The following is a 27462-nucleotide window of genomic DNA, read 5'->3' on the forward strand; positions in this document are numbered from 1 at the left end:
ACAAGTGCCAGCCAGTCTGCTTTATGCACTCAGTGAGGTTTTCAGGCTGGGGCTTTCACGCGAAAACTCAGTTTCCCTGTGCATAGAAAGGAAATGAATTCTGAAAAGGGTACCAAAGTATTTAGGAGAGTCTCTGACTCCAAGGATGGAAAATAATCTTACTAGGGAGAATCTAACATTCTTATCTTTAGAGTGGGAAAATAGGATTACCTTAGCACTGATGATAAGAAAAGTAATGACATACTACTTGTATTAAAGAATTTTCTGGAGGTACTAGGGATTATTGCTGAGTCATCATTTAAGAACTAATAATAGTACTAATTAGCCAGGAGTTTTCAGTCATACTTTGGAATAATTTTCTTTTTTATGTTATTCTCTATTCCACCTAAGACAGTGTTTACAAGAAAAGGTTCTGTCATCAGAACTGGGTTCAAACTTGGTCTCTGTATTTACCACCTCTGTGACTTTAGGTGAGACTTAGCCTCCCTAAGCTGTAGTTTTCCATCTGTAAAATGGGCATAGCAGAACTTTCCTCATGGGAGCTTTATGAAGCTTCAGGTAGATCATTTATATAAAGTGCTTGGCATAGGGCCAACACAGTGTGATCATGTAATAGATACTTGATTTTTTAAATTTTCTCTAATTTTATTGTCCTGTATGTATAGATTTAATTTTCAAGTGCAGAGTCAAAAGATATTAAATATATTTTTGAATTTTGAAATGTGATTAAAGGAAAACCAAATCCTAAGTGACCTAAAATTCATATTGGGTTTTAATTTACCGGTGTTTGTTTTTTACTTAGCACTAAATCTCTTACAATATAGAGTGTTGCTTTGCTACTGTAATCAAGTTCACACCTGCAACGTGACTTTAAGTTTAAAAGATACAATGTAGAAAATGCATTCTTACTATCCTAGGGCATTTTTTTTAACCTCCTTAACCATGGCATTTGAAGTTTGGACATGAATAACAGTGCTTTTTTTTTTAAGTTGGAGAAAGGAAACCTATACCTGCCAAGAGTTGGAAATGAAAATAGGAAGAGCCCCTGGAACTCTAGTGTGTTAGATTGAAAACATTATTTAGAGGAACAGACTGGGAAACCAGTGAATATTTTGGCTTTTATAGAAAGGGAGTGTGCCTCATAAACAGGACAGTTGGAATGTATGGAAAATTTCCAGTGAAAACAAGAAACAAAGCACATGACTAATACTGCTTTTCCAAGTTAGACAAATGCAGCTTTAACCAGAATTTGCCACTGAGGGGCCTTGGGGGCCCTCCTTGAATCTGGATACTTTGATCCCTTTTTCAAGTTCTAAGTCTAATGTAGGAAAAGCTGTACAGATAGATGATATGGTTTTGACCCCCATCTTTCTTCCTGTTTCTGCCGTTCTTGAAAATTCCCAGCAGGTGAGTGTCAGAAGACAAATTGAAGTATTCAGCTAAATAAGCAACTGCAAAACTGAATTTATTCCTCTTCAAGAACTACTCTTCTTGTATGTTGAGTGACCATTTGGCTGCCAAGAGAAACTGCTTTGCCTAGGAAATAATATGGACTGAAAAATCAGTTTCAAACACAAATGAAAAATATTCCTTATGTTTGGTCATCTTCTTTCCACATCAAATATACATGTAAAGATGTATATAAGATATAATCTGAAGATAATCAAACAGCTATTAACTGGATTTCTGCATTTCGCCTATCCTTCAAAACCAGCCTCAAGTCTACCTTTATGTTGAGAGAGTGTATCTTTAACTCATGGTGTTCTCTTTCTCCTTTCACATTTCCTGTAAACTCATCATGAATTGCCTTGTTTATTGTTTTGATTTCTCATTCAACAACACCAGAATACTCTGTGTTTAGGGTAACCTTAGACTTCAGTTTTCCTGAGGAGTTTCAGTTTACACGTCTTGCACCGGTACAATTAACAGTGCCCCTTTCAGGTTAAAAAGTGTCTCAGTGTAGTTCATAAATTATATAGTCACCCCATGTGTGCAGCAATCAGAGCTTTTTCAATGCAAAGTTGATTATGATGGGCATAAATGAATCATAATAAAAAGTTCTAGTATGATCCCATCTGACTGGGCTTCTTGTGATGGCCCATTTCAACACCATGGGTGTCATTAGTGGCTTCACAATGGTTCTTCTTGTAAATTCCCTCATGACCTAGAGTTTTGATTTATGCCATCCTAGCCCACTTTAAGCTCTGACTCATGCTGGGATTGCCCTAAACAGGGCAGGGCAGACTAATGGAATGCATTGCATTGTCCTAACATTTCTTAACCTGCCCAAGGTTGAACATGCTTGTTTGTTTTTCTTTTGCTCTCCAAAAATCTTTATGCTAGCGTAAAGGCCTGTTGTAATCACATAAATTACTCACTATGTAACAGGAGAAGTTGAAATTTGTCCCTGAAACATAAAGATTATATATAATAAAAGCCTTAAAAACCTACCTATTGAGAACCAAAGATATTTAGTGCTGTTTCCTAACTGGCATTACAAGAAAATTCTGCTCAGTCAGGGGATACTCACCTTTCAAGGGACAAGGAACATGTAATGAATTTAAATTTGGTTTAGATCTGTGTAATAAGGAAAAGTAAGTGAATTTGGTGATCTTGTACCTGAGGATGGCGGCATTAAAAAAAGACTATTTTAACTTAATATCATTTCATTAACTTCTTTAAAAATAAGCTAGTTCAGCTGAACTACACAATATCAGAAGACCAAGTGTAAGAAAACGGTAATCGGCCGGGCGCGGTGGCTCACGCCTGTAATCCCAGCACTTTGGGAGGCCGAGGCGGGCGGATCACGAGGTCAGGAGATCGAGACCATCCTGGCTAACACGGTGAAACCCCGTCTCTACTAAAAATACAAAAATTAGCCAGGCGTGGTGGCGCGCGCCTGTAGTCCCAGCTACACGGGAGGCTGAGGCAGGAGAATGGCGTGAACCCGGGAGGCGAAGCTTGCAGTGAGCCGAGATCGCGCCACTGCACTCCAGCCTGGGCGACAGAGCGAGACTCCGTCTCAAAAAAAAAAAAAAAAAAAAAAAAAGAAAACGGTAATCTGTGTTTGTGGAAACATAGAGATGAATTCATCTAGTTATGTATCATTATGTAAACATAGTTACATTGCCTTTTGTGATAAATAGGTTTTGGAAATGAAGATTACTTAAGAATATATGTAGTCAAGACTTATAAAAACTCAGGAATTAAATTGTCAAATTAACCTCTACTTGGAATATTATTTATTAATTACACATTTACTGAGTGTATTCTAGTATATTGAGTGTATGTACAAGGCTCATATACTGGGTATATAAAGAAAATGTATTTAAGCACCTTTCCTCCCAGGAACTGGTAGTCTAGTATTCTTACTTTTCCAAGGAAAAACAAACAAACAAACATGAAGAAATATATCTCTTTAGTATGGATGATCTACTTCACATAAAGTAATTTTATGCTGGACATTTCTTTTAAAACTTTACATTTATTCTGTTAGAGTCTCTTATTTATCTTTCAAAACTCAGATGAAAATTCATCAGTTAGGAATTGTGTTTATCTGCAAGTAAGAGGGTCTTTGAAAACAGGACGAAGTAAGATTCGAGTAAGCTTTCCTTTCACATCAGACCCAGTTCTGAGAGTAAACGAGCAGATACAGGGACTCCTTGGTATTCTGAGAGGCCTGGGCTCCTTTTCTCCGGTTGTGTTTAGCCTCGGCTTCTATGAGACAAGTTCCCTCAAGTCTGAATATGGCTGCTGCAGGTCTGGACATTACAGCCATGTTCCAGGCAGAAAGAGGCAGGATGGGCATAAGGGGAATAAAAAGGAAAACAAGAAAACTTTTTTGAAAACTTTCACAGAAGCCCCATTCAGAAACTTCTGCTTCCATTTAAATCATCATCGTTAGTTATGCAATCATCATCATTACAAGAGAAGGTGGGAATTGTGGCATTTCAGTTCCTCTCAATGCCACCTTCAACAAATTTAGGATTCCGTTAGTTAAGAACAGGCAGGCAAACAGCAATCTGTGTGACAATACACTCTAATCATTTATCACCCTCTGGGGGAGATTATTGTATAGACATTGCTAGTGCCCCACCCATGCTCTTTTTATAGGGCTGGTGCACCCATCCCCAGCTGCTCTGCATTCTGGCCGTTTATGGCTCACAGTTGTCACTTTCTCAAAGGAATTGCCCTCCACCAAAAGGAGCCACATTGCTTAGAGATGCCTGGAACATCAACCCGCTCCAACCCCACTCCTCCCCGTACCAGGCTGCCTGCAGCCAGTGACTGTCTGATATGGGGTAGAAAACAGGCCCCAGGCTCCCAGGTGGGACAACTTTGTGTTGTCGTTTGGGCTCAAAGCTATGGGAGGGGTCAGGTTGAGGCCACACTCCCATTGCACCAACGTATATGCTTGCTGCCATGCCTCACTGCCTGTCCCAGTAAATCACTTGCTAACAATCTCTACTCTAGGGTCTTTCTCAGGGGAATTAAAACAATTGTTTTTTCTTGTAATGTCCTCATTCCCCCAGCTTCCTCCTGAGCTACTATGTAAGAATTGAACATTATTGTACTACCTCCTTCTCTTCCAAATACACGTTCAGACTATCAAACCTAATCACTGGACCAGCAAACAGAGAAGGCAAGATAGAGAGGAATCCAAACTGGTTTTCACTAAACATAAATACTATTGTAGGTTTTTCTAAGTGAAAGTAGAGGCAAAATTATTTAGAGAAAATAGTTTGCCCCATAAAGATACTTATTTTCATTTCCATGGTCTGAATGCTTGTTTGCTACAAGTTTGAAACAAATTAAACACTGTGCTGTAGGCAAAGGAGAGGAATGTGCCAGCCTAGGCTGGGCGACACTGCAAGAGAGTAGTATTTCCTGAAAGCGTAATTCAGGAGCCAACTACAAATATTTTGAATTTCATGAATATTGTTCAATTAATTCTATATGAGCACAGTTTAAATAAGCATTGGTGGTACTTAGTAACTAAAGTTTTTCCACAGATGTGTTATCATTATTTGAATGACATCTGCTTCTTTGTCTATTTCAACAAATAGATCCTTGCTCCCCCTGTTTTGAGGGATCATCTCAGACACTAACTTCCCGGTAATGTATCTTCTCTACTACTTCAGAACCTCCCTACTCAGATCCACCTTTTTCAGAGAGCTTTCTATGTTTCCTCCTTTTCTCTCACGCCCATTTACTTAATCCCTCGTAACATTTAACTGACTTTTGTTTTGTTTCCTGTACCTTATTTTCAAAGAAGTAGGCCTAAGCACCTACTCCTTCCCTTTATTTTTGTAGGGGCCTTTAGGAAACCTCAAATCAAAACTTGGAATAACTAGGTCATGGCAAGTGATTAGAATGCCAATGTATTTATTTGTTTTAATTTTTATATTAAATAATAGCATATATTTCTCTGCAAAAGAGAGATTCAGTAATCAAGTAATGTATTTTAAGGTATATTTACATGACTATGATATGTATATCTAGAAGGAGGAAAACCCAGTTATACTCTAAACTTTACTCTTAAGCATGCTCAATTCGTCTGATTTTGACTGTTATCAAAGCAGAACATGTATTAATTACAACAGTGTTTACTTGTTTTATTTTTTAAGGAAGTAGCTTTATACGGTTATTCAAATTTAATTTAATTTGTATAGTAAATGCAATTGGGAAAGGGATATTGCCTGGAAAAAAATGCATTTCTCACAAATCATTTTGTTTAGGAGTAACAGAAGAATCCAGAATGATTGATTCTAAATATCAAGTACTACAGTCTTTGTCAGTTGTAATTGTTCTTTTTGCCAGATAACCATGAACATCCTTTAAATGTTGTTGAAATTTTATTGACTTTACTACAGAAAAAAACTAGAAATGTCTCTAAAAACTTGTACTTGATCCAATCACTTGATTTATGGAAAGATCCCATTCTAAACACTGAAACTTCTACTGTCCTTTTTAGTTTTGGGGAGTTTGCTGGTCCATTTTTTCCCCTGTCACTTCTATCAGCTAAATATTTTCAAAATAATATGAATGAATGGCATCATCAAAAACAAAGAATACCTAAGTGGGTGTCATGAATATGTTTTTTCCTGACTTTTGTGTACTCTATCCTGTTGATGATGGATATTTATTATACTTTATGACAGATAGCTATAGGGGTCATTTCACATATGTCATAACCATTTAATTCTGGGAAATAATTTAAAAATTGTTCAGCTTAAATCAATGTTCATGTTGCAAAATCTGAATAAAATGCAGGTGTTCTAAGAGATCTTCAGTAAGCCAGTTTGTAGTGATGCCAAAATTGTATTTGTAATAGATTGGATGGATGTGTATATATTCAACTTTATGGGCTTTTAAGAATCTTTTTTTTACTAAATAAATGCAGTACTTTTTACTTAATAGCCATTTTTATATATTAGCTGTATTTTTAAAACTTTATCACCCAAGGGACTTTCATTTTAAAGACAGCATGTTACATTTACGACAAGTTTGAGGACACATAACATCTTTCTTTGTTTTTTTGAACATAGAGATTAATATACACATGAACATACACGTATATATGTGTCTATATATATGTGTGTGTATGTGTATATAGATAATATACCCAACATAGATAATATTAATTATAATGACATTACAACAGTTTCTTTATCGAATGCCTACTATGCCGTGAGCACTCTGTTGGGATGCTTTACCTTACTTCATCCTCACATCAGCAATTTGATATGGTTATAGTTAGCCCTTTGTTACTGCGGAGGAGATGGAGACTTGGAGAGTTTAGGTAACTAGCTTAGTAAGTAGCTGTGCTATGGAACATTGGAAGTTTCCTCCCAGTAACTATTTAGCAATACTACCTCATCACACCTGTTGTCAACAGTTGTAAGACAATGAGAAAATATAAGACACACAGCACATGCTAACAAATCCAGAAATAGAATTACTTAGAATATACACACTTATTGACAATATGCAATTAAATCTTTTTCTGATTTCTGTCAAGGCAGGTTTTTTTTGTTATCGTTGTTGTTTTGTGTTTTGTTTTGTTTGTTTGTTTTGAGATGGAGTCTCGCTCTGTTGCTCAGGCTGGAGTGCAATGGCATGATCTTGGCTCACTGCAACCTCCGCCTCCCGAGTTCAAGCAATTCTCCTGCCTCAGCCTCCCGAGTAGCTGGGACTACAGGTGTGTGCCACCACACCCAGCTAATTTTTTGTATCTTTAGTAGAGACGGGGTTTCACTGTGATACCCACATGGCTCGATCTCCTGATCTCATGATCCGCCCACCTCAGCCTCTCAAAGTGCTGAGACTACAGGTGTGAGCCACCATTCCTGGCCTACCTGGTTACTTTCTCTAGATGGGAGATAGCAATGTGACATAAAACTGCCCCAGGGGCTCCAGAACTGCTGGTACAGTTATACTTCTAAAGCACTAGGCCCCAAACCAATTTTTCTCAGATTTCCAGATGATAAAAATATTAGCATCATTTTTTTCTTTTTTTTTTTGTGAGTCACAATGGATGTCAACTTTCTAACCCTTTTTATTTCTATTTTCTTCCTGCTCTTTCCTGAAAATTTTCACACAGCTATAGCAAGGCAAAGAAAGTAGCTGGGACTACAGGCATGTGCCACCACACCTGGGTAGTTTTTGTATTTTTAGTAGAGACAGGGTTTCACCATATTGGTCAGGCTGGTCTCGAACTCCTGAACTCAGGTGATCCACCCACCTCGGCCTCCCAAAGTGCTGGGATTACAGGCATGAGCCACTGCGCCCAGCCAGCAGTATTTTTTTTAAACTTTTATTTTAGATACAGAGTGTACATGTGCAGGTTTGTTACCTGGTATATTGCATGATGCTGAGGTTTAGGGTACTAATGATCCGATCTCCCAGATACTAAGCATAGTACCTGACAGTTTTTCAACCCTTGCTCCCCTCCCTACTTTCACCCTCTAGTAGTTGTCAGTGTCTACTATTCCCATGTTTATGTCCACATGTACCCAATGTTTAGCTCTCACTTATAAGTGGTAACATGTGTTGTTCGGTTTTCTGTTTCTGAGTTAATTTGGTTAGGATAATGACCTCCAGCTACATCCACTGTGCTGCAAAGGACATGATTTTGCTCTTTCTTATGGCTGTGTTGTGTTCCATGTTGTACATGTACCACATTTTCTTTATCCAGCCCACCATTGAAGGGCACCTAGGTTGATTCCATGTCTTTGCTATCGTGGATAGCACTAAGGCAGTACATTTTTTTTTTAATAACATGGGCTTTATGAGGCACTGAGAACTAAAACAAATGAGCACAAGAGGAGGATCTGAGGATCTGTGCTTTAGCACATTATAATACTTCTTCCATTGGCTTAAGAATTTCCATTGGGATCAATAAAAAATAATCCTTATTAAAATGCAGTGTTCGAATATAAAGAATAAGGTGCATATTGCAACATCACTAGGCAAATAGCTGAACAAGCAGCAACTGCAATCATAAAGTGGGAAAACCCACTCAGGCACAACCTCTAATGAGGTGTCAGTGCAGTGCTGAGGGCTGCTAGGGAACCATTGCTGGAAAGTAGTTTTCTTGTAATGTTGGATGGGAGGGCAAATGAACTAGGTAGACCCAGAAGCTGAAGACAGACTGTCCGTGTCTGTAAACAGCAGTCATGCTTTGTTGTATATGCAGTGTAGAGATTTTTACTTTCACAGAAGGGTGTGTTTGTATGTGTGTTGTGGGAGGGGAGGGAAGGAGAGAGAGTGTGTGTGTGTGTGGGAGAGAGAGAAGAAATTCCTAGCACACACTGACTAATAGCATTCAGTATACTTTGAACATTCAGTGAAAAGAATTCCTGTAATTGTTGATATTGGTATATTTGGTATTTTACTTACTTGCATATTTTTAAATTAGAAAGAAAATTCTTAAAATGCTGCATGCCAAAGTGTATCTGGCATGTCTTCTGTGAAGTATAACCATGACACTCTCCAGAAATAATGTTTGACACTCTTCCCATGCAGTTCAATTTATGACCTTCCTCTAGTCCTGCAGAACCATGTGGCCACCTCCTCCAGATCCATTTATGGGATCTTTTTTCCTGTAGCTATGTAGAACCTGAGAAATGTAAGCCCTGGAACCTGGGAAGTATTGACAGGACCAACATTTCTCTCTCTCTGGGTCATCATCGTTAGGTGTCTGAAATATGAGATTAGAGATGGGAACTAGAACTTTTTAAAGAAAAGAATCAGAATACAAAGAAAACAGATTTTCACTTGTGAATTTGTTTTTGCCATGTGTACTATGGAAGTAGGAGCCTTATCTGAGCTTGAAACTAGGTACTAGGTTAACTTAGAACAGAGTCAGACAATTGTTAGAAACAAAGACTGGAGTCCTAGATTCCACAGCTTCCCTTCCATGAGACTACAGTCCTTTAATTTTTTTTTTTTTACTTGAGTAGCGTTGGGGTACAAGTGGTTTTTGATTACGTGGATGAATTGTATGGTGATGAAGTCTGGGCTCTTATTGTTTCTATCAGCCAAATTGTGTACATTACACAATAGGTAATTTTTCATCCCTCAGCCCTCTCCCAAACCCTTCTTCTGAGTTTCCAATGTCCATTAAACCATTTTGTATGTCTTTGGGTACCTATAGCTTAGCTCTCACTTGTAAGTAACACGTACTGTTTGGTTTTTCATTCCTGGGCTACTTTGCCTAGGATAATGGCCTCCAATTCCATCCAAGTTGCTGCAAAGGACATTATTTTTTTACGGCTGAGTGGTATTCCATGGTGTGTGTATATATATATATACCAGATTTTCTTTGTGCACTCTTCCACTGATGGGCACTTAGATTGATTCCATATGTTTGCCATTGTGAATTGTACTGTGATAAACATGTAAACACAGGTGTCTTTTTGATATGATGACTTCTTTTCCTTTGAGTAGATACCCAATGGTAGGACTGCTGAATCAAATGGTAGATCTACTTTTGCAACTGCAGTCTTTTTTTTTTTTTTTTTTTTGGAGTTTTTTCAATTATATTATTATATATAATCACTTGGAAAAAACGTTCCTTTTTTTTTCACAACCTTGCCAGCATCTGTTGTTTCTTGACTTTTTAATAATTGCCATTCTGACTGCCATAAGATGGTATCTCCTTGTGGTTTTGATTTGCATTTCTCTAATGATCGGTGATGTTGAGCTTTTTTTCATATGTTTATTAGCCACATGAATGTCTTCTCTTGAGAAGTGTCTGTCCGTGTTCTTTATCCACTTTTTGAGATTGCAGTCTTAACTGCCAACACAAAAGTCTTACCTGTTGAGTGAAACTCTTGGTCAAGTCTGAACTGAAATAGACTTAATTTCATGTTTCAGTTGAGTCAAGGCTACAAGTTGGCGAAAGTCAAATTAGGTCTGTGTCTTAGTTCATCTGTACTGCTAAAACAAAATATCTGTGACTGGGTAATTTACAAACAATACAAATTTCCTTCTTACAGCTCTGGAGGCTGGGGAGTCCAGGATTAAGGTGCCAACATCCAGTGTCTTGTGAGGGACTTCTTGCTGTGTCCTTACATGATGGAAGCGCAGAAGCACAAAGAGAGCTAAAAGCTTTGGAGCCTTAATCCCATTCAGAAGGGTGGGGCCCTCATGATCTAATCACCTCCTAAAGGCCCCAGCTCTTAATACTATTGCATTAGAGGCTAAGGTTCAACATATGAATTTGGGGGGACACACTCAGACCACAGCAGTTTGCAAATGTGGTTAATGTCTACACCTAAATTGGTTTTCTTTCTGGAAACAAAACTAAAAAGGTCACTCACTTTTCTGAACATTTTAGTAGTAAGCAGATTTTACAGTTTGGCAGCCTACAACAGATGGAAAATTTTTAGGCTAAGGAATTTTCATACTCTGGGTAGCCAAGCTGGTGGTAAAGGAAGCACAAAATATTAGAGTTCACTTTAGTTCTTTGAGTTCCAGGCCAGGTCTAGAAAGATTTGTGAAGTGAAGAAGTTTTGGACAATGTATACACAAAGTTGATATAAAGTGAAGGACAAGGCATAGAAGGAGATACATAGAGGAGATAATAGAACATTAAAGGTATTAGGGAAAGATGTTTCCTGCTTACTCCATTGAGTGTCTGGGGAAATACAGGGAAGGGTGCTCCATACTACCCCAGTTAGCACTTCTAACTGCAAACACAGGAGTAAACACAGTTCCTCCCTCTCTACTCTTCTCCTACTACCTTCCCCTCTCATCCCCTTCCACCTCCAGGTCAGAACTGCTTTTATCTTGTATTTCCAGAATGTTGGGGAAAGTTGAGAGAGAAAGAAAAAAAGAGAAAACGGTTGGAATATGGCTAGCTAGAGATTCTGTGGTCTCTATTCCCTTTAAAATTACCATGTCCATGTCCATGTGTGATTGGGCACATACACACATGTGCATGAGTGTGCACATGCACACAGTTTTCTTTTATATGTAATACATTTTTTAAAGGGATGAACTTGGATTAGAAGAAAGAAAACGAGATGGCAAAGAGAGATACTAAATGTGACTGCCTCTGGGGAGCAATCCTTAAATATGCCCTCTTCCTCCACCCCTACTCATCCCTCTCTAAAGCAGAGTGAGAGGCACCTTTTCCCTGTTCTTCTAGCACTTTGGTGAAATCTCTCTGTGCATCTTATACTATGTGATACTGTTTGCTTATATATGTCTCTTCTCTTCTTGTCTGTGATCCACCTATATCCGGGATGTCCCTTTTGTTTACTTTGAGTGAGATGGACAGATCACACCGTGACTTCCAGTGTCCTTAGAACATCTTATGTTAAAGAATAGACTGTAGGAAGTCTGAGATTGTTCTACTAAAAACTCATGATAAAATGATGTATGACTCATTCTGTATCATAGTTTGTGTTTTAACCTATACTAATGAGCCTTATTTTAATTGTTTCAGCAGTTAGTGGATGGAGGGATAAAGGTAAATAATTTCTAGGCACTACTATGTTATTAAAATATTATGGACATGTGCAGGAATCTATGGAAATGTGAATTGGTCATGATCTTAGATCTTAAGTCCTCCAATCTAAGAAATTAAATTAACTAAAACAACTCATTCAGTTTAACCACTTTAATTCTAAAATACTAAATCATGCCAGTATGTCTGGTTCTGGTATTCCTCAAGCCAAAATCATCAATATTAACACAATTAGAATTCCCAAGTTAATTACTTTATATGCCCATCAAGATTGTTTCTCAGAAAATTCATTCACTGTGATTTAATGTGAATTTATATGTTGAGATTTATGTCTATAAACAATAATTTTTGTAGGAAAAACTCTAGAATGCAAAGCACCTATTTGTTTCAGAGAATAGGAAATACAGTGAAACTTACTAAACTTTCTAAAAAATGTGGAAGGTCCTTGTCCTCTACTATTGCAGCAGAATTGAAGCCAGACCCCCAAACCTGACCAAAATCAGATTTTTGTCACTCTTCTTTCTCCCAAATTCATAACTAAATCATAATTATCCAGGTATCTATTAATTACAATGAGCCGGTCGACTCTTTCCAATAAATTATATATCTTTGTTGTCAGATTTTTGTAATAAAAGGTCCTCTTGTTTCAGTTTTTCATTTGTTTCAATTGTTCATTTGTTTCATTTTAGTCTAGAATTATATACGCTTTCTATTTTGAGAGTAAATTATAACTGTTTTCTCCTTCATTGCAGAAGACAATAGATGTGCATCTTCAAATGCAGCATCCTGTGCCAGGTGCCTTGCGCTGGGTCCAGAATGTGGATGGTGTGTTCAAGAGGTGTGCCATTTTTTTTTTTCTTTTTCTCATGGTTGACTTGAGCTATAGCATGACTTCATTTTCCTAATATTCTGTGCCTTGAAGGTGCATCAGGAAAAATAAAGATACTGCTGAACATAAGGAAAATTTTATTTGGTTTTATGCTTGGAAACAGCATATCTGGCTGAATATAAAATAAATCATAACATTTTTATTAGGAAAATTATGGTAATTTTGAAATGAAGTGCAAACCATTTTATGTTTTCCATGTGTTCTATAGAGAGAATTGGCAACCACAGCTAGTAACTTTTGATAGTTAAGTAGGCTTTGGTGTGGAATTCTTGCTTCAGCTTGAGGCATTAGGTTATGTATCCTGTTGTTCAAAATAAGTGTTTTTCTGTTCTACCAAGAGAAACGAATCCTAATAACAAAATTCTTAGTAAAACAATTACAATGCATTCCATCTTTCTTGGCTCTAGGGTTGTTTTGTGTTTTCTTCTTTTGTCAGTAATCTGGAGTTAGAACTGCCTGTATCTAGTAAATTGCACTGAAGAAGCGATCTGCTAATCTGGGGTTTCTTCTTGTATGAGATTGCCTAAATAATTTTACATTTACTTATGTAGCTCCTGGGAATTGGAACAAACAAACAGGTCTTTAATGGCTTTTTGCTTGACATGGAGATAAGTCTCTAGCTTTTGTCTCCTCTGACTTAACAACTGTGCCTACTGTTATCCTTCCAACCTCCTTTATTACTTCTTGGAGAAAAAAGAAAGTTATAAGGTAGCAACAGATGGTGGATATCACTTTCTTCTAGGAAGCAAGTCAGAATAGAGGCAGGGGAGGGGTTCAAGAAACAGTAGGCATGTCTGAAAGTAAGTCTCCCTACTGATAGCCTAAAGGCTTCCCAGATGGACTCTGGGCTCCACCAGTGAGAAAACCAGATGTCATTCATGAACTAGAAAGTGGTTCATCAGAACCCGTGAAGCCAGGCATGTCATAGAGAGGACAACTTCAGAGTTTCTGGGTCCGATCCCATCACTGCCTGTGAGCCAAATGACCAAAAGAATTCACTTTATTCTAGCATCTCCCTTTCCTCGTCTCTATAACCTCAAATTTGGTGTCTGCTTCCAGGTTTTTCTCTGTCAAGAATGTTTCATGGCTTGTTATTTCCTGACCCCAAACCAGTACTTCATTTTAGATTTTTACTGCTTCACTAAGGAAAATCCTTAGAGCCCTGAAGTTTGTGCCAACTTGCTGTCAACTGCTGAATGCTTTAGTGAGGGTAGTTTGGAAGAGCCTTCAAAAGATAGTACAGAAGCCCAGTTGTCAGCCACATGTAACATGTTAGCCATAGAACATCAGGCTTCAGAGGGACCCCTTCTCCCTGTCACACCTTTGACTGGAAGAAAATAATCTGGAGAGTCACAGCTCTGGGAATAGCTGTCAGTCCTGCCATAGAAGGAGGGATTTTGAGTATTCGGAGGAATCAGTTGTCTGATAGAAAGAGCTAAGTCAAGGAGAAAGGAGGTGGCTGCTGGAGGGGAGAAGGAAAACCTGTCACTGTTGGCAACATTCTTCAGATGGGATCTTAGGGAAAACGGTCAGAAACTCACTTGGGTGCTCATGTTCCCAAATATTCTATATAGCGCAGTGCAGCCTAGTTTATGTATTGAAAGAGCAGGCTCTGAAGAAACACTGAGTTGGATTCAAATCCTAGTTCCACCAGTTTCTAATGTTATAAACTTGCACATATTACCTAATCACTTTGAACCTCAGATTTCCATACCTCTAAAATGGAAATACAAATTGAACCCGCCTCACAGTCTTGTGAGGATGAAATGAAGCAATGTGGGAAGCACTGGGCACAGAGGCATGGCTTAAGAAATGGGATTTAGGACTATATATAGAACTTTGACAAGGTTCTGGAACAACTCATTCACGGTTAGGAAACTAGGAGGATTGCCTGCATTAATAACATAACCTCAGGGGAAGCAGCCAGTTTTAGGACTCAGCCACTATCCATGCCATTAACAGGAGCTGTCCACTCCCTGCAGGCTGACCTGACGTCATTGAGAGGAAGAATGTATTATTTAATTTTGGAAGATCCCTCACCCTTTAGGTGCGGATGTGACTGATGCCAATGATTCCTCAACCAGCAAGGCTGGAAGGAGAGGCAAGGGAGAGGCAGGCTTTTTTTTTTTTTTTCTCCCCATGATTAGGTTAGATAAATGGTAACAACGTAAACCTGGCTTGAATAATTTTCAAGGCTAATCAAAAGTAAAACGTCTCTAGAAAATTTAGACAGGATGTATCCAGTTTGCTTGCACTATTATGTAGCATGTTAATCTGCCATTCCATATACTTTGCTTTCTCTTTCCTTCTACACTACATAAGTAATTGGAAAATAATTAGGATAGAAACAGCATCATCAATATTACCTAGTTTAATGCCCCATGTTCCTTTCTAACATCTATGGAAGACATGATATGTCTTGAAGAATTCCCTTCCTCTCCTACCTGTTGTGTCTGATGCAGAGTGTCATGCGTAGTGAGAGTTCAGAGCGTAGGCTCGGAGCATAGTTATACTTTCACAGCATATATGATAGGAAAAGTTTCACTGTCAAAGGGAATATGATAGAATTCTCTCACTTCTGTGCAAATTGCTATGTTTGGAAGTCAAAAAGACCCAGGCGTGGGTAGGAAAAAAAAAGTTTTCATATATATATATCCCCAGAATACTATATTAAATTGATGAAAATAACAACCAATAAAAAGCCAACCAGGTCAGGCGCAGTGGCTCACACCTGTAATTCTAGCACTTTGGGAGGCCGAGGCAGGCAGATCACCTAAGGTCAGGAGTTTGAGACCAGCCTGGCCAACATGGTAAAACCCCATCTCTACAAAAGATACAATAGTTAGCTGGGCGTGGTGGTGTGTGCCTGTAGTCCCAGCTACTCGGGAGGCTGAGGCAAGAGAATTTTTAGAACCTGGGAGATGGAGGTGGCAGTGAGCCGAGATCGTGCCACTGCACTCCAGCCTGGATCAGGAGGGAGACTCTGTCTCCGACACAGAAAAAAAAAGCCAACCAGAGAAACTTCAGTCTGAGCTTTTCCTTCTCAAATAGGTTTTAGATGCAGAAAGTTGGAGTAGGATTTTTGCTTGTGTTTTTCTTGTAGAAATAGTAAAAACATAAGGATTAGAAGAAATTAAAATGATATAAAATACCAAAAATGCAATATTTGCTATGTCATTTTCTTTGGATGTAATTGATATACACTAAAAACATCAGTGATTTTCTTTCTTTTAAACAGGATTTCATTTCAGGTGGATCAAGAAGTGAACGTTGTGATATTGTTTCCAATTTAATAAGCAAAGGCTGCTCAGTTGATTCAATAGAATACCCATCTGTGCATGTTATAATACCCACTGAAAATGAAATTAATACCCAGGTGACACCAGGAGAAGTGTCTATCCAGCTGCGTCCAGGTTTGGTCATTTTCAAATAAATCTATAATGATTCTTAACTTGAAATTGCAATTTACTTTAATTTGCTCATTTTTAATATTATGTGGCAGGCAGTATTGTTCTTGTAGAAACCACAGTGGACTCAGAATCAAGAAATTAGAATTCTAGTCTTTATAGTGCCTGCAGCCAGCTGTGTGTCTTCGGACACTGCAAACCTGACCACACTATATTCTAATTATGTGTTCTGTTCACATAATCTGATCAGGTTGTGATGTAATTGTGTTTTTCTACTCTACTGCGAGCCCTAGGAGCAAGGGGACATGTTTATTCCACTCTCTTTTTCCAATGCCTAGCAGAGCACTAGCATGTAGTAAGTACTCTGTAAGTATTTGTTAGCTTGATTGATCCTTTTTGGAAGGGATCTTCCAAAATTAAATCAATCAAGCAATCAATATTTTTGTGATTTAATCACAACCAACTTGTGATTAAAAGTTTATTACAAAGTTCTTAGAGACTTTGTAATAGACTTTTAATCACAAAGCTGCAATTCATGATTATCATAATTACTTTGGGCAGTTTTGTGATGGCCCCTGAGATTAGTATACACCTTTTCTCCTATACCTCTTTTGTACTTCCCCTTCCTTCACAGTGTATTTCACAGTTTGGCCTATGTTGTAGGCCACTGGACATTATTCGCTTTCACTTTCCTTCAGTGCTACAGAATCCTGGTGTAAAAACTACATGTAGTAAGATAAATCAAGGTACACAGATGCGCACCACTCAATTGGATGCATGTAGTTTAACGCAGTTCACAATTGTATCCAATCCTTCATCATTTCATTGTGGGTGGTCCTGTCCTGTCATTAATTTTTAAATAACCATTCTTGACACACTCCCTTCCCCATTCCAGAACTGTGCTATTTCTTCCAGACTCTGATTATCAGAAAAACAAAATCCATTACTTTCTTGGCCCTGGGCATATTCCCAGTTTCCAATTAAAACTGTGCTCTTTCCCATATTAAATAATGACACAGCCCAGTATGGACATTGTGAGCAACAGTTGGAAAGGAATATACAAAAATGAAAGTAATTAGATTGGTAAGATTATAGCTCTTCCCACCTTCCATTGCAAAAAATTATTTAGTGTCGTAAATAAATTCTTTTTTAGAAAAAGAGAGACAGGGTGAAACAAAAATTGTACGTTCTCGTACACCTAATTCCAGTTGAATACATCCACTAAACTCTGCCCTTAGATATTCCTATAATTACACATGCCTCTCTCTTGCCTGTGTTTTCTTTTGCCTTTATCTTAGTACTAGAAAGTTTGAACATTTTCCGTAAGCTGTTAACCATCTTTATCTCTCTTTTTTGTGTAATTTGTGTCTCCATACAAATATGCCTATTTTTCTAATTGAATGCCAATTTTCAGCAGCTTATATATAAAGCTTAACCTATATCATTTGCCTCTAATAAATATGACTACATTCTTAAAAATGTCTTACTCTTTTTTAAATTCTTGAGATTTGAAAATTATAAGCTGCATTTTATTTATTTATTTTTGTTATGCTCCTTCGTGCACACTGAATATAAGCTGTATTTTAACGTTATAGTTGCCCAACCATCTTTAATGATTTTTTTTAATTTTACTGTTATCCTACTAGGTTTGTAATCCCAGTTTTTCTGATCTATATGAGCCTGAGATTATGCCTAACATCCCCCATTTCTTATGCATTTCCATATCCCTAGCAAAACTATAATCTAGGGCCTTTCCCATTGTTAATCTACCTGATTCTTCAGGATCTTAATCCAGGCCATCGCCCCTTTCAGCACACATGTAATTCAATTATATTTCAGCTTTCTGACTCAAATGAGTCTGAAAATACTTCCCAGTTCACACCTGAATTTAAGAGTAAGTTGTTAATATCATCTTTCCTGCAAATCTTTCAGAATTCTCAATTCCTGCCTCTTCACTCTTCATTTTCCTTCAACAGGATTTTCAAAACAGCAGAACTGAAAAACCCACACCTTAATATTTGCACATGAAGTAAATAGGAATTATATAATAGAATAGAAAAATAATAAACAGTCTCTTAGTCTGTTTGGCTGCTATAACAAAGTACGTTGATTGGGTGGCATACACAACAGAAATTTATTTTCTCATGGTTCTAGGGGATGGAAAGTCCAAGATCAAGAGGCTAGTAGATATGGTTCCTGGTGAGAGGTCTCATCCTGGCTTGCTACGTCCACACAGGGCAGAGAGAAAGTGATCAAGAGAGAGAACACACATGCAAAAGAGTGAGAGAGTGAAAGCTCTCCAGTATCTCTTCTTAGAAGTGCACTAATCCCATCATGTCGGCTCCATCCTCATGACCTCATCTAAACCTAATCATATCTCTCAGAGACCCCCTATTCAAATACTGTCACATTGGAGGTTAGGGCTCCAACATATGAATTTTTCGGAACACAATTCAGTCGATAGCATTTGATACATAAATAATATTTTCAAAAGCCCATGGAATATTTTTAGAAATGAATTACACTTTAGGCAGGAAAACACAATTCTAAAAATAAAACTGTTCTTATATGCCAATATCTACAAGCATGGTGTAATAAAATTTTAAGTCAATACAAAATAATAAATAAATATTAAATAACAGCAAGTTTCAGAGAAGCCTCTCCTAAATAATTCTATCTCCAAGAATAAATTGAAACTCTAGTCCTATAAGCCAATAATAGCAGTAACAAACACTTCAAAATATACAGGTTGTTATTGATGATGTTGTTACAAAAATTCACAACTTTAAGTGCTTTTATTATTAAAGAAAAATGAATCCAGATGAACTAAGCATCCAAAGATATAAGAAGAAGATAAACAAAAAAAACATAAGAAAAACAGAGAAAAGAGTTCCTAAATTTAAAAACAAAGCAAAATTAATGAAATGCAAAATAGGAAAAAAAGAATAAAATGGATGTATAAATCCAGAGAACCAGAGAGCTGGTTCTCTGTAAAGTCTAATAAAATAGATAAATTGTTGGCAAATCTAATTAAGAAAAGAGGGCAAAAAATCAAATAACCTAATTATGTAAACCATAATTATAGAAAAAAATTCAGAAAGAAGCCTTTAAGAAATATTAAGCACAAAAATCTATAATAAACTGTTTAAGTCTTGAGATAATTTTCTAGGAAAATATGTCTAAAATTGACTCAAGATAGAGAACCCTAAGAAACCTAATATACAAGAAGTTTAAAAAGTTATAAATGTTTATAATTATAAAAATTATAATTACCTCCCTTAATAAGAAATACTCCCTAAAAACATTAGGTCTAAATGCTTTCATGAGCAGAAATGTTTCATGTTCATTCAAATATTGAAGGAATACATCATCTCTGTGGTATATAAACTTTTACACTACTTTATTTATTTATTTACTTATTTATTATTATTATTATTATTATTATTTTGAGACGGAGTCTCCCTCTGTCACCCAGGCTGGAATACAGTGGTGCGATCTCAGCTCGCTGCAACCTCTGCCTCCTGGGTTCAAGTAATTCTCCTGCCTCAGCCCCCTGAATAGCTGAGATTACAGGAGCCTGCCACCATGCCTGGCAAATTTGTTTTGTATTTTTAGTAGAGACAGGGTTTCACCATGTTGGCCAGACTGGTCTCGAACTCCTCGACTCAGGTGATCCACCAGCCTCGGCTTCCCAAAGTGCTGGGATTTCAGGAGTGAGCCATCGAGCCCGGCCTAAACTCTTACATCACTTTAGGGGATGCCTAGAAGCTACTTAATTATTACAAGGTTAGTATAACCCTATTATCAAATTCTTAATAAAATTTTAGCAAATCAAATTAACTGTATGTGATAAGAAGAACAATATCACCAAACAAATAGGCTTAAGCTAGAAAACCAAAGATAGTTGATTTTTGGAATTGATGTATTTTTATGATGTTAGTTTGCCAAAAAGAGATAAAACATATTGTTATCTCAATAGATAATAAAAAATAATTCAATAAAATTTAGTGCCCATTTCCGGCAAAACCAAAATCGAAGAATACTCCCTTAGGATATGTTAAAATCCTTCTCAAAAGTATACATAAATATGATTACATTTTTAAAAATGAAATAAGAGTTATAAACATTTTGAAAAGATAAAGCAAAATTATCATGCTATGGAAAATCCAAGCAAATCAAATGAAACTAACTATTGAATACTTTTAAATTTTACTCTGGCAGGTTGTTTTTTAAAATATTCAAAAATCAGTGAATTTCCTTTGTAATATTAAATATAATGAAGAAAAATGATCAATTGTGTGATTATCTCATAAAAGCAACCTAGAATGTAAACTGTTTAGGAATAAACTTTTAAAAAAGTATAAGATCCATTGTGCTACCTAATAGAAAATACGAATAAATGGAGAAGAATTTTATGCTCCTGAATATAATATCATAACAATGACAGTTCTCTATATAGTCTATAAGTATAACAAAGTCCAAGTGAATCAATAAATGTAAGACAATCAATCCCAGTCAAATTTGAATGCAGTTTTTTAAAACACATCTTCACTGAAACTTATTATGCATGTATCTTTGTATATAACCGCATATTTATTTAGCATGCATTCCTGGCAGTAGATCTGCTAGGTCAAATGTATGACAATGTATTTACTTTTTAATGTAGATTGTTACATTATTCACACAAAAAATTCGATGTTCAGTTTAGCCTTTCATTAGTCAACCATGCCTGCTTTCATTCTTTTTAATGTCTGCTATTTGTTTAGTCCATTAGCTGTTTTCTTTTGCCTTTTTCCTAGAACTAGAAAGTTTGAACATTTTTCCTAAGGTATTAATCATCTTCATCTCTCTTTTTTTGTGTGTGATTTCTGTCTCCATACAAATATGCCTATTTTTCTAATTGAATGCTAATTTTCAGAGGTTTATTATATATTATTTGCCTCTAATAACTATAACTATATTCTTTTAAATGTCTTGCTCTTTTTTAAATATATAAGTTTGAAAATTATAAGTTGCATTTTTTCTACTGGTATGTTACAAATAATTTATACACTTCAATGAGTTTAGCTTGTTCTTTTTTATAGATATAATGATGATTTGGTCCTTCTGAGACTATAAATGAACAGTTCAAAAGTTGGAAAATTGTTTCAGTGCTGTAGACAAGCAATGATAGTGGTAATGACACAGGAGAAAACTAGGTAAACTTGAGAGAGAATGGAGAGGTGGAATCCACAGGAGTTGGTGATTGATAGGCCATGTGGGACTCCCAGGATCTGGCAAGCAACTTAGTGTGGTAGGGAAATCTGTATGAATGAAGTGGTGTTGATTTAAACTGGGATGTCTTGAGTTGAGAGAGAGAGACTTAAGCTATATGAGGCTGAAGCTCAGGGGAGAGATAGGGGTTGGAGATAGAAGAGAAACAGGAGACATCAACAGGAGATGGTAAGTGAACGCAGTGGGGAAGAGATCATGGGGAGTAGGAGAGTGAAAAAAGAGAAATAATTTTATGTCAGTCATTGTGGAGCTTGATTTTATTAAATTTCCCATTACTATTTGAATTTCTATGTGCAAATTAGCATAATTGTCTAACGTGTGTAAGTCATCTTTCCAACATAGTTGTGAGCTCCATGAGGCAGAACTAGTTTATAACCCCCATATATAGCAAATATTTATTAAATTAAACTGAAAATATGTTCTTAAAAAATGAATTTGACATCAAAGACATATCCGTCTTAGGGCATAATATATAAAGCTAAATGTTGGCAACCCCAGATATATAGAAACATACTCCATGATGTGAAAGTCCTTTTCACCATGAGATGAATCAGAATCAAGGGCTTGATATAATGCATACCTAAGTGGAAAATGCATTGAGCTCTTAATATTAATTTTGATTTATCACTTTATTCTTCTCTGATAAAAATTTATGACTTCCAATGTAGCATCTGTTAAGAATTTTTCATGAATATATTTATTACATCATGTACTGACTAGGGTTTCTTAAAAAATGTTAGTAGGACTATATTTTAATTGGATGTTTTAAATGACATTTAAAAATGACATTTTCTTTACTTTTCACTTCTTATAATATACTTTTTCTTATTTTCACTTATGAATCTTATGGAAAATGATAACAGAAATAGACTATTGATCCTAGTTGATGTTCTCTAAGGAAACTGGATATTAACTCTTTAGGAAAATAGGACAGAGAAGGGAATTCTCTAATTCTAATTCAGAAATAATACAATGTATATGATAAGGATTAGTTTAACCTATATTTCATTAACTTAAGAAAATGTTTCAAACTTGGTTCGTTTTAATAATGTGCAAAAAGAATCTTCTAATTTAGTGTAGATTTAGTAAGATTTTCCAGATATGCTTCACCTGTTTCTTAATTTCAAAATTTAGAAAACAAAACAGAACTTGCACATTTTCTCTCCACCCCCTGGCACACATTCCTCACTTTATTTCCCACAGAAATTAGGAAATGTACTGGAGTCTGTACCTTGCCATTATAAACTGGTCCCATTTGGGGGCCCTTCTCCTTCCCCTGCTGAAGTATAATGAATAGAAATTGGCTTATCATTCTTCCACTTACAGCTTTCCACATTTTCTCTTGGTTTTAAAATTTCATCTTAAGCAGATCATTTTTTTACTTATCTTTTCCTAGTGTGCAGTCATGTTCGTTGTGCCCAGTACATCAGAGATGCTCACACCATTCTTTGAGTAGTTTAAAAACTCATTTTAACCACTTTTTATTCTTTGTATTCAAACCAATCACTGGCAATAGCTCTAAGTAGGTCATCAACTCTCCTCCATGTCTTCTTTCTAATTCTGCCACAGACTCACTTCTTCCCGTTAAAATTAATGGAAGGAAATGAGTGTCTGAGTTCTTAGAATCTCAAAAGGCATGAGGATAAAGCTTTCCTGGAGATAATATAAGTGGTGGCAGGAAGATTTGGGAGCCAGATGATACTCTTTTCCTCTTAGAGAAACTCTGTGGAAGCTCTGCCTATACTGTGGGAAATAAATTCTAGACGCTGGCTTCTTTCTGTAGTAAACATGTGGGCCCTTTAAAATGTTGAACCAAAATGTGCTTCAAATATAGTTTAGTTATAAAACATTTATGGGGGACTATGTATGTGCCAACTACAGAGGCTTCAGAGATGAAGAAACAGTTCTTACCCTAGTGTTGCTTAGAATCTAGTAGTAGTAAGTAATAATTACTAACATATGCATTTACTATATAGGCAATACTAGGGTAAATATTTTACATAGATTACCTTATTTAGTAGCTCTTAGCTGCTAAAAAAAAAAAAAAAGATAAAGATGTCCAGTCTAGAGTCTCATAATTGTATGGTAAACACTAAAATGGTGGTATGATCCAGTTGCCATGGAAACACAGGGGCGGGGCCCTCAGCTCAGTTTAGGAAGGAGCAGATTACTGAGTGGTGTCTTTAACTGGTAATTACATGAAGAAGAAGAGGTTGGGCCACCACAGGCAGAGGAAGGACCACAGGCAGGGCACAGGAGTATGCATTTGTAGGCTGTATATGGGGAAGTAAAGCAGATTTGTCTTGCTAGAGCTAAAGATGTAGACAAGAGTAAGTATTATGTAGGAACTTCGATCTGACATGTTTAGCCATTGGGCATTGGCCATCTGGTGGAGAGCTGTTGACAAAAAATAAGTAATTTGGATTTTAAAAGGATCGACTCGGTGGTATAGATAATGATGGCTGGAAAATGAGACGATAGAGGTAGACATATGAAGAGGTTATGGAAATAATCCAGGCAAAAAGACAATGAAGGGCAAGGATGGATAGGAGTATATCCCAGTATTCTGGCATGCTAGAGTTCAATTGAAATGTTTAACTTGATGAATAATAGGTAAGGAAAGTGAGTGAAAACTAAACTACTAGATTCTTAACTCTTAAACCCTTCACTGGGTCAAAAGTAATGAGTTTGAACATAGTGTCGAAATTAACCTGATTTTACCTTGTGTTTGAAATTCTACATTCATAAAGGAAAAAAAAAAGGAAATGTTATGGTCGGTCCCAAATTATAGTCAATTATAACTATTTTCCTCAAAGTTGGTCTTACCTATGTTTAGTGGTAAGAATTGATTGTTTAATATAGGAAAAAAGACCTAAAATTGGTGAGATAATGTGATTCAAATTCCAAAAAAAAAAGGAAAATTAGATAGCTCTGCATTCAGAAGAATTGAATGATATTTTAAAGACATTCACATAAACACACACCCAAATAGATTCTTCACATTTACTTGTATTCCAAAAACAGAAAACTATTGAAAAGAATGAAGGATGGTAACAAAGTACATGAACAAAAAAACAACTGAAGCATCACCAGAATTTTGTTTTCTGTTGTAGAAACTTACTTAGGTTACTTTCTGAGACTGGCAAAGAAAGATACCAGAAATTTAAAGTAATCATTACCCTTTATCTTCAACACCCAAACCCCCTAAAATGACAAGAACAGCTATAATTAATTTAATGTGAAATTAAAAAGGGAACACTGACATATCATCTATTAATATTCAATACAAATATTAACCCATGGTGCCTTGCAACTAAAAATATCTGGAGAGCACATGCCAGGTTAAGTTTAATCTTTATATAACAAATTCAGTTACATATAACTGTTTATAATACCTGATAGTTGGAATAGCCCAGATAGTGGTAAAGTATTAATAGAAATATATTCAACATGGCTTGTGCAAAATTAATAAAATTCTTTAGGTAAAATGGCTTTGAAAATCATATATTATGCTTGAGGAGGAGTGAATGTGGGAGGGGGTTATTGTCATGGGGCTTGTCCTACTTGGGAGGAAGGAGGAAAAGTGAGGAGCAATCATTCCCCTTCCCTTCCTTCCCCTCCCTAACATTTCCAGGCTCTGTTTAAAACCAATGGATATTGCCATTAAGCACGTGATGAAACTGAGGGTGCTGTCCCTGTCAGGGCAGGGATCCATGGTCTATCAGGACATTTCTGCTGTCCTTTTCATGTAGCCACGTCCCCATGCCAACTAGAGTTCCTTTGGTACTAACTCTGAAACCACTGATGGGAAGTGGAGATTTTCCTGGAAACCCTGAAATGGGTCATAGTACTTCATTAATTAAATCATTTCCAGGGTCACTCTAAGCCCATGTTTTGTACCCTATTCCATTTCTCCTCCAAAATTATGCCCAGGCATCTTGTCCAAAATAGTTTATAAGTGGCTCTATGATGAGATCACGTACAAAGGTTAAGTGGGGGTGTTAACTAGGGACACAATATCCACAGTGCTGCAAAAAGGTATTTCTATGTCCTCTTACTGTGGAATACTGATGCCTAGGACACCTGCCCCCAAGAGTCTTCTCCTTTATTTATAATTATATGATCCAAAGCCAACTTGAGAGCATATTATGAGGACTATCTCAAACTAATGGGCATGACATGGTAATCCAAGCTTGACCCCTTTGGTTTCCTCCTTATCAAGCAGAGCACGATTTGGGGTCAGCCTAGCTAGGTCTATTTACCTTGAATTGACTACTTAAAGCTAGACCCTCACAGCAAGCTCAAGGGTCTTGCAGTGTAAAAATATCAATTATTATTCTTGCTAGCGATTACTAAAAGGCCTGTGTATGGAAATACTCTTTTCCTCTTTATTAGAAACTTCTCTACCAAGGCCTCAGCTGACTCCGGTATACGTGCTAAGGCCAGAATTTATAGAATCCAAAATCGAGCCACAGCAGCCCACACTCTCACACCCCAACCATTTGGCAGTGCTTTCTCACAGCCTCTCTTCTTTGCTGAGGCCAGCGAGACCGGAATTTGCTTGCTAGGCTATGAGCAGCTGGTTTCTGCTGAGGGCCCTTGTGTGGCTAGCATTTGGTTGGAGGGCCCTGAATAGCTTACCTCCAAGGACTGGGCTTTTGCTGATGCTGTACAGGCCCTGGTTGTTTGCTGAGGTCACCAACCTATACCTTTGCTGGGTCCCTGGCACAATATGCTGACCATCTATTACATCTAGCAGTACCTCTGAAAACAGCCATTTATCTTTAGACAGAGCCACCATAAACTGCAACGATTCACCAAGATAAAAATACCATGATACCATGTGGCCGGTTTACAAAAACAATCTTTTTTAAATCTACAAAGATAGCAACACTTTTCATCAACAGCAGTTCACCTAGAGAGAGTCGACACTTTTTGTCTGAGTGAAAAACAAAACCAAAAAAACGCTGATCCACACATCAAGGTTCAAGTCCCTGAACATGAACCGCTCTCCCAGTAGTGTTGAATTTCTACTTCTCATCGATCTGGCCCAGTGTACCAGTGTCTAACATTCCCCTGAATTTAATTTCTCCACTCAAATTGCAGAACACTGCCACAGGAACAGTTCTTTCTGTCAACAGAAGCCCAAAAGCAGAGCAGAATATAGGATATGCTCTCAGGAGGCAGCCTAGCTTCTGAAGGCAAGGGATGAGAGAATGGACTGGGCTGGGCCATGTGTGCCCTATTTCTCCTTTCAAATATGGGCCAAAACCTAGGAGCATTACACTAAAGGGGTTGCCTGCACAGAAAAAGCAAATTAGGAATGAGTAGTCCCTTTCTCCATAATTATTATTATATACCAGCAAAACCTTATTATTTTGAATACAGTAGGTAATTTGGCTGAAAAACATCTGATTTGTGAAATAATCGAAAAGAAAATATTGCTATTTTATGCTAACACCAAAAATATAATTTGATAAATTAGAAGGTTCTTTAAATAGGTAAATTATGTATACAAATGAATGTTTATTTTAAAAATGTTTTCCATTCGGAATATTCTTATGGAAAAATAATGACTTACAAAGCATTTACTTAATAGTTTAAAAAAGTAAAATTTACAAATTACAAATTGCTTACATTTAAATAGATGCCTTTTCACCATATACTTGAAATTAAAAGTAGAGGTACCAACTCTATAGAGGGTTAGGGGGGACAACCCAAGTCCTTGTATCAAATAGTAATATGACAGAGAACTAAATAAAATTGTAGTTCCCTGCGGGGACTACCGACATTTGTCCTTGTGGCAGCCCCCTCTCCTCATCCAGTTGTTTTGCCCAAGGTGGGTGCCTCGCTCATGGGCCCCCTCCTCAGCATGTGTTCATTGAACACCTACCGTGTGTTGGACAAATGCTGAC

At 36.9% G+C, this 27462-nt stretch overlaps 1 protein-coding gene and 1 non-coding gene across 14 annotated transcripts in view; both read left to right on the top strand.

The window, feature by feature from the left end:
* ITGB8 (integrin subunit beta 8) overlaps positions 1–27462 on the top strand; it is an 85989-nt gene that overhangs the window by 21142 nt on the left and 37385 nt on the right. For 9 of the 13 annotated variants that reach the window (XM_011515393.3, XM_017012179.2, XM_047420341.1 and 6 more), the window contains 2 exons: positions 12730–12815; positions 16105–16279. In XM_011515393.3, the coding sequence (XP_011513695.1) occupies positions 12730–12815; positions 16105–16279 (261 nt within the window). Of the gene's footprint in view, positions 1–2279; positions 5116–12729; positions 12816–16104; positions 16280–27462 lie in introns of those variants that run through there. The other 4 variants (XM_047420345.1, XM_047420343.1, XM_017012180.2 and 1 more) reach the window with 2 other exon arrangements.
* LOC124900239 (small nucleolar RNA SNORD56) lies at positions 26424–26494 on the top strand. Its single transcript, XR_007060654.1, has one exon. It is a non-coding gene; the product is annotated as a small nucleolar RNA SNORD56 (small nucleolar RNA).

Source organism: Homo sapiens, chromosome 7, assembly GCF_000001405.40.
Source record: "Homo sapiens chromosome 7, GRCh38.p14 Primary Assembly".
Taxonomy (NCBI): Eukaryota; Metazoa; Chordata; class Mammalia; order Primates; family Hominidae; genus Homo; species Homo sapiens.